General features: G+C 40.1%; 1 long non-coding RNA gene across 1 annotated transcript in view, besides 2 other annotated features; it reads right to left on the bottom strand.

Annotated features, from left to right (window-relative positions):
- The window catches only part of LOC107986651 (uncharacterized), a 38,036-nt gene that overhangs the window by 6,498 nt on the left and 18,740 nt on the right, over positions 1-12,798 (bottom strand). The gene's annotated exons all lie outside the window — the stretch shown is intronic.
- Positions 1,927-2,055: a transcriptional cis regulatory region, noted in NCBI's record as "candidate enhancer chr6.4960 targeted for multiplex CRISPR interference". NCBI's record gives its function as "positively regulates CITED2 gene expression with high confidence in K562 cells {active_cell/tissue: K562}" and the evidence as "EXISTENCE:mutant phenotype evidence [ECO:0000015][PMID:30612741]".
- Positions 5,342-5,794: a transcriptional cis regulatory region, noted in NCBI's record as "candidate enhancer chr6.4959 targeted for multiplex CRISPR interference". NCBI's record gives its function as "positively regulates CITED2 gene expression with high confidence in K562 cells {active_cell/tissue: K562}" and the evidence as "EXISTENCE:mutant phenotype evidence [ECO:0000015][PMID:30612741]".

The raw sequence follows: 12,798 nt of genomic DNA, 5'->3' as shown, positions 1-12,798 counted from the left end.
ATTATAAAAATTGCCCTTTCCTAAAATACCTTTCTCTTTTTCACCTGCTGATCCCTTCAGGAGCCTCCACCTCCAGGATGTCTTCTCTGATTGTGAGATGCAGAGACTTGAGCTCCTGAACACTCTCTTTCTTTTTTTTTTTTTTTTGAGACAGAGTCTCGCTCTGTCACCCAGGATGGAATGCAGTGGCACCATCTCGGCTCACTGCAAACTCCACCTCCTGGGTTCAAGCGAGTCTCCTACCTCAGCCTCCCAAGCAGCTGGGACTACAGGCACTGCCACCACACCTGGCTAATTTTTGTAGTTTTGGTTGAGATGGGATTTCACTATGTTGGCCAGGCTGGTCTCAAATTCCTGACCTCAAGTGATCCTCCCACCTCAGCCTCCAAAGTGCTGGGATTACAGGCGTGAGCCACCACACTTGGCCCCTGAACACTTCTCAAATCACAGTGCACCATAAGAGAACACTCCTGAGGAATTAGGCAGAATGGATTCAATCACAGCAAGTTGTTTGTTAATTGCACGATCCTAGGCAAGTTCTCTCAACTTTAGTTTCCTCCTATGTAAAATAGAGTAATAACATTGCTTGCCTCACTGGACTGCTGAGAAGATTAAAAGAAGCAATGCTTATACAAAATAGCAGAGGTACCTGGCACAGAGAGACATTCATTGAAGATTAGCCCATGGATATTCAGTTAGATCCACCGTTTTTCCTTTAATACATTTAAGCTATTTATTTAGGCTAGGGACTTATTTTGACAGCTTACATTAGTTTTATATATTATTAATATTTTTTAGAAATTCATGCAATCTAAATATGTAATCTAAATGCACTTGTTAAACTGTTGAAAATGATTTCATAATGAATGGGGCCAAATTACTATTCCAGACAAGCCCATCTCCAATTTTATCAAGAAAATGAGTAAGAATATAGGCTTTGGGACACAGAAAGCAGATTTTCCTCACCCCTGGGAATACATCAATTCTGTAATTTAAATTTCTCGTGCCTGGCTGTAACTATGTAGCCTTCATGACCAAGAAGAATGATAACATATCTTATTTTCAGATATTCAAGCCTATTCAGTAGGAAAAAGTAGAATGATTGGTCGTCAAAAGCTATTAACAAATAATGTAACTGTTGAAGATTTTTTTAAAATCATGCACATCCGATTTTTCTCCTTCTCTATAATATTGTTTTGGTTTTTCTCACAGCTTGACAGTTCTTTAAAATTAAAAAAAAAAAATTAAAAAAAAAAAAGGTTGGGGGGAGTATCAGGCAGGAAATAATCACAAAAGAAAATTCAGCCTCCTTGCTATGAGAGCTTTAGGATTCCAGAATCTGAATGTCCTTCCTGATAATGGCTGACAAACTGCTGAGTCAGAAAATGTTAAAAAGCAAACAAAAACAGAAAGGAATCTTAGTGAGATTATTGAGTTACAAGGACAAAGAGAAAAAAAATCTAAAAATTTTCCAAGGAGAAAAAAACATGGGTAACCTAAAAGAACAAAAATCAGTTTGTCATCACATTTTATATCAACAAGTACTACATAACAAAGAAATTGCTTTAAAAAGAGAAGAGAAAACTCTCTTGAACCCAGAATCCCATAACCAGAGAAAACATCAATCTAGAATGCAGAAAATATAAAGATATTGTTACACATGCAATGATTTATAATCCTTACCACCAGGATGTCTATTCCAGTGGAAAAAATTAAAACTACAAAAGAGCAATTTAAAAAGAAATGACATGGTGCAAGAGGATTTCATTAAATACAGAAAATGGGAGAGGAGAGGGAAAAGTAAAAGCGTGCTACCGGTTTGGTCATGTTCAGGAGAAAGAGGAAGTTATAGATTCAGATAAATTCTCCATGTTGATTAAAATACGGTAGATAGATTTTACTATGTTTGCTAAAATTGTAAAGATGGGTAGCCCAGACTCATGTGGGCAGCTTCCACATTAGAATGTGAATCTGGAAGGTGTGGTGTGGTGGGGGCAGCTATTGGAGGCCAGCTACCACAAGAAGAGTCTATCCAAGTGACCCAGCAGCTCTACTTTGAGGAACTCAGCCTCAGAAATCTTGCATGTGTGCACAAAGATATGTATGTAGTTAGCATTGTGGAAACCAATCCATGTATTCTTCTAAATGGAATTGGTTTACAGGGTATGCATTCCTTAACGTAGAACACTATGTAGCCATTAAAAAGATTGAAGTAGATTGATTCATACAGACACGTGAAGATATATTGTTATAAGAAAAATGTGCTAAAGAAAGTGTATACTGTGATCTCAGTTTATGAAATTAAAAAACTCAACATGTACGCATATATGCACATTTGTGTTTATAATGCCTAGAAAAAGTATAGTAAGCAAAATGAATGAAGGAAAATAATTGAGGATATATAGCAAAGGAGATTTTAAAATTTTACTATATACAATTTTGTATTTTGGATATTTTCTACAATATAATGTATTACTTTTGTAATTTCACAAACACTAATAGAGCTGTCAAGTACCTGAGATGGGTACAGTCTCACTCAACAAAAAAAGTCCTCTTTCAGACTATGACATGACTTGAATTTGTTGTCAGCTTATATTCTGTGAAATGTGGTATTTATCTCTGAATAGATAAGGGTCTTTTCAAGTAAACTTTCCATCTGAACACAACAGCTAAAAAACTGCTAAAGGGAGAGAGAAGCAGATACAGATTGTCAGGGCAGCAGTTATTTTACCTTTGGGAACTGAAACTATTTTTACTCAAAAAGAAAGTTTGCAGAGACAGCATTTTCACATTAGACTTCATAATGCTACACAAAACAAATGATTTGCAATGGAAAACATATAATAAAGTGGGTGCATATCAGTTGCCCTAGAAAAACAACCCAAAGACAACAATAGCCAATCTGTCTATCGGTCTCTCTTTCTCTCCACATTGATCCAACTTGCATTTTGTGACTAGATAAAAGGTTTTAAAGTTGAAAATGACATCATCTGGGCCTTCAAGGAGCTGAAGGAAGTGTGCAAGATGGAAGCACCTAAGTGGTTACTCATAGAACAATTTGGGAAGTTTTGTCATAGAGATAAATAATACAAAGTACATTCTCACTTGGCTACTTCATAGGCTATGCAGTTTTGAGCAAGATACGCCTCAATTTCCTCATTTATAAAATAGGTATCATGATTATACTCCTTCCTAACTGTTCTGGGGACTAAATGAGACAACACAGAAAATCCACGCACAAAGTAATCAGTCAGTAAAAGTTAGCTACTATTATTTGGGGAGGTTATTCAGACTCCCTGGAATTGAAACTTTATTATGGGACCCTGGTCAAGTTACTACATGGAGTCTTAGGTTCCTCATCCAAAATTGGTAGAGTAACTTTATCAGAGGCTACCAGGCAGAATGAATGAGATAATGTGTGTGAAAAATTTAGATCAGCAATTGGCACCTAAGAATTCCATTAATGTAAGTCATTATGTCTATCAAAATGCTTCAAAAAGAAGAAAGGAAATAACAACTAACTCTTCCTAAGAGTGACAAAGAACAGATAGCAGGAGAGCTGGTCTTGAATAATTAGCGGGAGTGCTCCAAGCTGGTGTGGTGAAAGAAGGATGTAGGAAGCAAAGAAAACAGCATGTGCAAACTGGTGGAGAATTTAATCATGATGATCATGATAATGGTAATAATAATAACAGTAATACAGCCTGTTCAGAGAAAATAAGAGATGTCCTATAGGCCCTAGGAAATATGAACTGGACTTCAGCTGAGAAGTTATGAGCCACAGAACTTTATCAATGCTTATGGAGCTATTAAAGAAATTAGAATAGGGCAGGAGTGTGCAGTGTGAGCTGACCATAAATTGATCCCCTAGAAAAACAACATCAAAGGGTGGGAGAAACCAGCAAAGGAAGCCCAAGAAGAAAGCTTAGAGAGGCAGAAGCTGGTGAAATAAAAGAGGCGGAGAAAGAAGAGAGAGTTTCAATAAGGAGGGACTGGTCAACCGTGTCAAATGTTGCATAAATGTCAAGTAGGATAACAAGAGAAAGTGAGGCCATTGAACTGCCCACTTGGGAGGATGTTGGTCAGAGAGTATTTTTAATTGAGTGGTGTTGGTGGAAGCCAGACAGTATTGGGTTGAGGAATTAATGAAATGTAAAGACACTAAGTATAGACCAAGTGTAGACCTCTTTCAAGAAGTTTAGTGATTTAGAAAAAAAAAAAAAAAAGTGAAAAAACCGTAGTATTTTAGCCTCATCAAAACTAGAAAATGAATTCTTAAATGTCCAAATGAGCATAATTCACATTTGGCAAAAAGGGTAAACTTCCCAAGATATAAAAATAAATAAATAAAAAATAGAAAACTACGGGGAGAAAACAAAGAAAAGAACTTACTACTTTGCTCGAATGGGATTAGAGGATTAAGGTGAAGGACAGGTGGAGGAGAAAATCGAAAAACAGCAAATTTGAAATGACTAGGAAATTAAGATTTTAAAAAAGAGGAAAGAGGAGAATGAGGAATCTCATGGATTTGTTGAAAGAGCAAGAGGCAGGCATAGACTGCCACAAATGAAAGTGATCAAAACAAAACCACTCCTCTCTGTCCCTCAGACTGAGCCGGGGTATAGTAAACCCAGAAAACATGGTCCTGATTAGAATTCTGTCTCCTGTGTGCTAAAGAAGCCTTAGCTACAAGTCACGGGCAAACTGCTAAGCACAAAGGCCTACGTTGGCAGCTGTAGTGGTTTATCTCTAGCTGCAGGTATGGTTCCCTCTACCCAGGGGCAGACTCTAGGTCCTTCTCTTGGAATATTTGCCCCCCAAGACAGTTTACCAAAAATTAGACCTGGCCTGAACTAGTCAGCATGAGAAATTTGAGAGAAATATGGGAAAAGACTGTAATATGAATGATTGGATTTTCGAATAAAAGAGAATATTGGATGAGTTTTTTTTCTAGCATATCTAGAAAAATCTGCCTTGAAATGTTTACATTAGCTCTTGGACCATAGGCCAGTGCTTTTAGAAAATGTGATCAGTCATGAGGTCAGGTGTTCGAGACCAGCCTGGCCAACATGGTGAAACCCCATCTCTACTAAAAATGCAAAAATTAGCCTGGCGTAATGGCCGGCCCCTGTAGTCCCAGCTACTTGGGAGGCTAAGGCAGGAGAATTGCTTGAACCCAGGAGGCAGAAGTTGCAATGAGCTGAGATCGCTCAACTGCACTCCAGCCTGGGCAACAGAGCAAGACTCCGTCTCAAAAAAAAAAAAAAAAAAAAGAGAAAGAAAAAAGAAAATGTGGTCAGTCACTTTGCTCTGTGTGGTTCTCCATTTCCACAGCTGTAGAATAAGGAAGATTAGATTAGTTTTAAGTCCTTCCAGCTCTATTATGAAATTTAATGATTCTGTCCTTTACATTTCTTTCATTTTCACAAGGATATCTGTCCCTGGTTTAATACTAATGTCCTATCTTCCTAACCATATTGTTAGCCCCAATTTTGTTTTAGTTTCCTTCTTTTGTCTAAAAGGAGTCAGAAAGTGTGTTAAAAGATAAGACCATCTTAGGACACCCTGGGTGAGGCCAGTTTTTGTCCAATCAGGAGGCTTTTATGTGGAAAACACCCCTTAACCAGGCTGAGCCTACTAGTTTGAGATAAACATTTTGATGAAACATTCAGTAAAGAAGAACTGGATCTTACATGAAGAAATTAATGCCTACGCCCCAGTGCAATAGTTAATTCCTCCCTGAAACATTTTCTTATTGTTATGTAAACATAACCTAAGTGGGTTTGTTAGAGATAATTAGAAACATTCTCTTAGCCTAGTGACTTGGGGAAGAATAAAAAGAGATGGGAATTATTAAGACGGGATATACAGGCAATGGGGGAAGGGCTAGTTCGCATGGAACAACCAAATATATCTTTTGTAGGCCAAAGACTCTGAGAAATTATTTTTGTACCTGCTCTCTATTTCTATTTCTATTCTGGTTACTAAGTGGACAGGTGACTTCTCAGCCTCTCTTTGAATACTTTTTTCTATGTGTGTGTAAGTATGTATGTCAGAATACCTTTGCATCTTGGATGTAAATGTGGACAAAATGCATTTCTAAGTTAAAATAACATTTAAATTGTGAATACCCAATTTTTAGAGATAAGAACACTGTCTTTTTAGTACAGTTTCATGTCTTCTCTCCATATTCTATTTTACCAACCTATTTAGCAAAATAGCCAAGACCCTCCTTCTGAGTTAGCCAAGAGCCTGACTGCCAAAATCTCCTGAAGACCTGTAAAGATACCTTTCTTTAGCTGAATCCTTGGCAGCTAAAGATAGATAACAAAGATTTTTTTTTAAATAATAGCTCAAACAGAAAGAGATCTAGGGATTTTGCTCCTGATCAATCTCATAGCAAAGAAGTATAAGGCCTTATCCAGGAACTCACAGTTTGGTACATTATATATAATTTCAGTGTTTGTGAGATGGCTGTTGCCTGTGTCAACCCCATATGAGATTTGGTGGGTCCAACGAAAGGCGTGGGGTGAACTCTCCAGGTTAAAAAGGGCCTGGCAGGGGTGGCCATGTTTCTGACTTGGGACACTCAGAAATCTGCACAATCCATGGTAAGGGTAACCTGGAGCTCCGTGAGCCAGCATTTTTTTTTTTTTTTTTTTGAGATGGAGTTTCACTCTTGTTGCGCAGGCTGGAGTGCAATGGTGCGATCTCGGCTCACGGCAACCTCTGCCTCCTGGGTTCAAGCAATTCTCCTGCCTCAGCCTCCTGAGTAGCTGGAATGACAAGCATGAGCCACCACGCCCGGCTAATTTTGTATTTTTAGTAGAGACGGGATTTCTCCATGTTGGTCACGCTGGTCTTGAACTCCTGACCTCAGGTGATCTGCCTGCCTCAGTCTCCCAAAGTGCTGGGATTACAGGCATGAGCCACTGCGCCCGGCGAGCCAACACTCTTTAAAGGAAGAGCTGCCAGGTCTGAGATGAGGTCTTCCTCAGCAGAGCTGGCTCTTTCCAATCCATATGGGCCACTCTGCCTTTCCCTGCCCTTTCAGAAAAATTTCATGTTTAACCAGCACTGCAGGTAAAAAACAAAAAGCCAGCTTAAGAGAGGGCAGTGCTCTAACAAACCTGCGAATTTTCAATTCTGGCCGAGATTCTCATGTTTTTTTTGCCTCTGACTTGATAGGAAATGTTAAGACACCAGCAGAGCAGCTTGGTGACTTGGTTTACCTCTCCAGGAAAACATTTGCGCTACTCCTCAAGGTTGTGAAATAAAATGGCCTCAGGTTGTTATGAACTTCCACGTTTGCATAATCTTTTCTCTAGCATTTAAAGTTTGTGGAACTAAACCAGAGGGAGACCTGCAGCAAAATCCGAATTCAAATGAACCAGGTGGAAGCAAGTTAGCACTATCGTGTTATGAATGAGGCTGCGCCACACTCAGTTACATGAGCAAAGAGGAGCAGCCTGCATCCCTTCTGTGAGACGCAGCAGTTTCTGGTGGGAGTTTTTGTTTGTTATTCTTGTTGAGTGAATCTCTAACAGAACACACTTGGGTGACCACTGCGAGACAAAGAGAGTTTAGGCTTTAATTATTCTTATATTCTGATTAGGGGAAATAGTTTGAATCCAAAAGGATGTCATTGAGTGCAAACACAGTCCTGGAACTGGGCCCGTTGGGCGTGAACCTCAGGAGCTATTAATCGACATGCTTCAATTTGTAAGTATGCGGGAGACTGAGTCAGTAGAAAAAAAAAATTTTAAACATCTGTGGTATTCTTTCTGTTCCAGATTAATTACACTGCTTGTTTGTTGATGCTGACCAGAATTTTCAATCCTCTGATGCTATGCTTGGAACGTCATAAGTATTTTTCTATGTGTTTATCATTGCGTCCCATGAGACTTTATCTCTGTCACAGTCTGCCTTTCATAATTTATTTTAGGTCCCAGTTTTGTTCTTTTGCTCACCTGCCTTAGACTTCTTGTTTTTGCTTTTATACTGAGCAATATGCAACTCTTTCTCATTGAGTACTTATTATTACTTTTAAGAGACACCTTGTTAATACACAGCCCCACGTACACACACATCATTCAATCAAAATGATGATATAAATGAAAATCCAAATGTGCTGTTTAATCAACTGGAGAGGCTGGTAATTATTTTCAATCAGCTAGGATTGCTCTGCTAGCTCAAAGAATTATTAATAAGAGCCATATTTGTTAATAAATTGTGAGCAGCCCTTTTCCGGGAGTGGGGGCAGGTATCAGGGCAGGCTATTTCAGAAGTTGTTGTCCAGCCTTACATTATACCCTAAAAAGCCAAACCCCTCCTTCTAAGTTAGCCAAGAACCCAGCTGCTAACATTTCCATCCTAACATCCATAAAGATACCTTTCTTGAACTGAATCCTTGGCAGCTCTAAACAGAAGAGAATCACAAAGATATTTCTTTCTAAAATAGCCCAATTTGAAAATGAGAAATGGGCAGGCCCGTTGCTGTCTGTAAGGCAACCGTAATCCCTAACCCTTCCCCCAGTCAGCTTTTGGGGTCACCTGCCCTTGTCTCATTTCCCCACCATCAATACCCAACAGTGTCTTGTGACTTCTGTGGCCCCAAGATGACCAAAGAGCTCCTGTTTGAGGACCCAAGCTCCCTCCCCTCACTCTTAGCCCCAACGGCTTCTCCTCAAACCCCAGCCTATTTACAGGCTCTTCCTTTCCTCTTTGCCAAACACCTGAGATCTCAGGTTGCTTTGGGTCTCTTTCTAACCTTGCCACAATCCATTCTGTTCCCTGGAGTTTTCTCTCTTTAGGCTGAGGAGAGTGAGGCCTCCTGTGCTTCTTTCTGCTCACTTCCTTCCTCCTTCTCGTGATAAGCCCACAGCTCTTTTCGTTTCGTGGGTTTTACTGAGAATTACCAAGGAGGAAAAAAAAAAAACCAAAATAATTCATATGGAAGAGATGTGACTGTTTGAGAACTCCTATAATTGCTCAGCTCAGCAATGAACATACACTGATCACTTTTTATATGGTGATCATGGATGCCCTCTGAGATCCAATATTTATTGTTTCTGGGCTACCCTTGGGTGATCCTGGAAGCCCCGTTGGCCACTCACTGCCGTTGGCAAATAGTTCCCTAGCCTTTCCTGCTCTTAGCAATGAACACAAAATTAAAAGTGATCAGTGCTCTCTCCTTGGCTAATTTTTTTTTTTTTTGAGACAGAGTCTCACTCTGTTGCCCAGGCTGGAGTGCAGTGGCGTGATCTCGGCTCACTGCAACCTCCACCTCCCGGGTTCAAGTGATTCTCCTGCCTCAGCCTCCCAAGTAGCTGGGAGTACAGGCGCCCGCCACCATGCCAGGCTAATTTTTTTTATTTTTAGTAGAGGCGGGGTTTCACCATGTTGGCCAGGATGGTCTCGATCTCTTGACCTTGTGATCCGCCCACCTCAGCCTCCCAAAGTGCTGGGATTACAGGCGTGAGCCACTGTGCCTGGCCGCTCCTTGGATAATTTTTATTTCTCTACAGCACCACACATATGGATAGCATATGTGTCAATGTTCTCCTACCTATAATGACATTAAGATAACATGAATTGGCCGGGTGCGGTGGCTCACGCCTGTAATCCCAGCACTTTGGGAGGCCGAGGCGGGTGGATCATGAGGTCAGGAGATCGAGACCATCCTGTCTAACATGGTGAAACCCCGTTTCTACTAAAAACACAGAAATTAGCTGGGCGTGGTGGTGGGCGCCTGTAGTCCCAGCTACTCGGGAGGCTGAGGCAGGAGAATGGCATGAACCCAGGAGGTGGAGTTTGCAGTGAGCCAAGATCATGCCACTGCACTCCAGCCTGGGCGACAGAGCGAGACTCCGTCTCAAAAAAAAAAAAAAAAAAAAAAGGTAACGTGAATTAAATTAACAGATACACACATGCACAAGATCTAACTGTAATAATAATGAAATTATTTGACATTAAGACTATTTTGAAAACTTCGGATTCTGCTCATTTTTTCACACTCTGTCTACCTGCTTTCCTCCCACTATTGTGTTTTGACCAATGAAGTTTTCTGTGGAAATCAGATGGTTGAGCGTCTATCTGCTGACGTGCTTCTGAATCTGCTCTCTAAAAAGGACAGACATTGGATGGCATAGCCTCCAAAAAACTTTTTTTAAGCTAAAAGAACAGACAAACAAACAAAAAAGTCTTGATTCATAACGTTTGACCATTTCTATGATGTAAGTAGTTCCCCCATGGTCAATTTTATTGGCAGAATGATTTCAAACAACCAGATAGCAAGAGCTCTTCCAAGCCAGTTGAAATCAGTTCTAGCACACCATCTATCCTTCCAGTCTTTTCCCTTATCAAAACTTGATCTGGGCCTCATCTCCAAAGGACTGTTCTGGAATTGGTTTTCATTTGGAAAAGCAATATAATAAGCAAATTCCAGCAGTGTTAATGATAGAATGAAAAATGCTTGATGTGTTAACCCTGCCAGGGGTGTCTGCCTGCAGGAAGCCCTCCACCCAATGGATGAAATCCAGTGTCAGAACTGCAGGGGAACTCTGAGGCCCAGGGAGCAACCCTCAATGTCAATTCAGAGATAAACAGGGGAAAGCCCAGGCCAAATGCCTGGAAAAGAGCATACTTCTGAGCCAGGATGCCAAGGTGTATTATTGGGCAAAGTTACTGAACCTCTCAGTGCCTTCATTCTCCATTTGTAAAATGGGAATATTAATATTGCATTTCATGGAATCTAAGCTGTCATTGTAAAACACACCATTATGTTATGGTCCATTAAGAAATTTTAAAATGCTGCCCATTAAACTATGTCACACCATCAAAAGTAAGATACATTCTAAGTTCACAAATGTTAAAATGTGAGAGAAAATTGTTTTACAACCCATGAATTACAGTAGCACCTTCCACATAGGGTTGTTGGAAAGATCAAATGAACTGCTATCTGTAAAGTGCTTAGCACGATGCCTGGCACATTACAGGAATGATGGAAGATTTTGCTTTTATAGTATCTTTATTATTACCAAGAGATTAATGAAAAGGAAAAAGAAATGCAAAATCTCTGATTCACAAATTAAATCTTCCAATGTCCTCATAAGTGTGAATAAAAGTGGTCCTAAACTAACATTTTTCAAGCTATTTTTCTGATAGCCACGTGGGCCTCAGGGACTGCAGCGGTAAAGAAGTAGAGTTGAGAGTAAGGGTGAGGTGAAGGCCAAGAGTGAGAAATTTTGTCACCTCACTCAAAACCCAATCAAAGCAGCTCCATTTTTACCAGTTGAAGGCACTGGAGTTCAATGTAAGGTTGCATTTAATTGTGTATATATAAGTTGTGCCCAGCCACCTTAACAAAACACCTGCACCCAGGTAGAGAGGGACCTGTGCAGCCACACAAAGGTGACTTTTCCCAATTGTAAACTAAATTCTCATTCAAATCCACAGATCCCTGGGTCCAGAAAGTGCTCTTCTTGGTCTGTGGGCAGAAACGGCTTCCTTCCCTTCCTTCCAGCAGCCTGCACTATCTTCTGTGACAATGGCCTCTGCCAGACCACATCCATCACTCCTAGGACATTTGTGTCTTAACTGGAGCTGTTTAAATTTTCAAGTACAATAACCAAGGACTGCTGCAAGAAATTTAAATATGATAGCAAAGTTTATACCCTCACCGTTTCTCTAGCGGTTCCCTTAGCAACAGCTCTTACTTTTTACGACTCACCTTGGCTACACACTGCCTTCGCAATCGTTTGTCAGACTGATTTCCAAAACAGCTCAGATCCCTCTCAGAACTAAACATTCAGAGCAGGAGTTGAAGTGGAAAACATAAAACCTTTTTGAACAGAGGTTTAAAATCTCCTTAAAAGTCATCATAGCTTCCCAGGTCAACGGAAAAAAATATATATGTCAAAAAATAAGTGGGGAAAAGTAAAGAAACTACAAAAAGCTGTTGCACTGCAATTCTAAGTATTTGACAAATGTATACAGAGATGAAGAATAACAGCTGAAAATGAAAATAGTTTTATTGGTGTATTACGAAAGTAGGAGATTAAAAAATAATATTATATTCTTGTTATATTTGTTTTTTATAAAAATGTCAAAACACCTCTCATGCACTCATTCAACAAACATTTATGGTACTCTTAACTTGTGTTTACCTTTGTTTACTCCACCCTCCCCTCATCTTTTTCTCATCTCTCCTATGCCTTCAGGTGTTTAATCAGTCCTTTAATATTTGCACCTGTGTGTATACTTTCCCTCCCGATCGGGCTTTTCGATGGCAATGGATTGTCTATTTTTTTCCCCTATAAACCTTCACTACTTCTCTCCTGTGGATAGTATACTTGAGTTACATGAAACAAGTTCAAGTTTACAAGTTCAGCTAACATACCGGATAAAATACAGAGAAGGATCTTCATGCCTTCCCCCACTAGGGTTGGTGGTCCCCAAGAGAGGATAAACAACATCTGAACACCAGGGCCACCGTTTTAAAAGGGATGCTGGTATTCATTTAGGGTAAGAATGGGTGTGTGAATCAAGGTTCAATGAGATAAGCAGAACTACCGTGAGTGATGTAAAATAGGGATTCAAGTCTTAACACTAGTATGGGAGCTAGTGGAAAAGTCTACATGAGGCTGTGGCTTCTGTGACTGGCATGGGCATGGAGTGGCTGTGGACCTGAGCCAACAGTCAAGAAGGAAAGCTGGTCGTCAGTGCAGGAGCGCAAGGACAAACCAGAGCGTAAGAGAATAAACTGGGCCAAGCACGGTGGCTCACGCCTGTAATCCC

This window comes from Homo sapiens, chromosome 6, assembly GCF_000001405.40.
Source record: "Homo sapiens chromosome 6, GRCh38.p14 Primary Assembly".
NCBI lineage: Eukaryota > Metazoa > Chordata > Mammalia > Primates > Hominidae > Homo > Homo sapiens.
The sequence above is the reverse complement of the archived record's forward strand: the minus strand, read 5'-3'. Positions and strand labels throughout refer to the sequence as shown.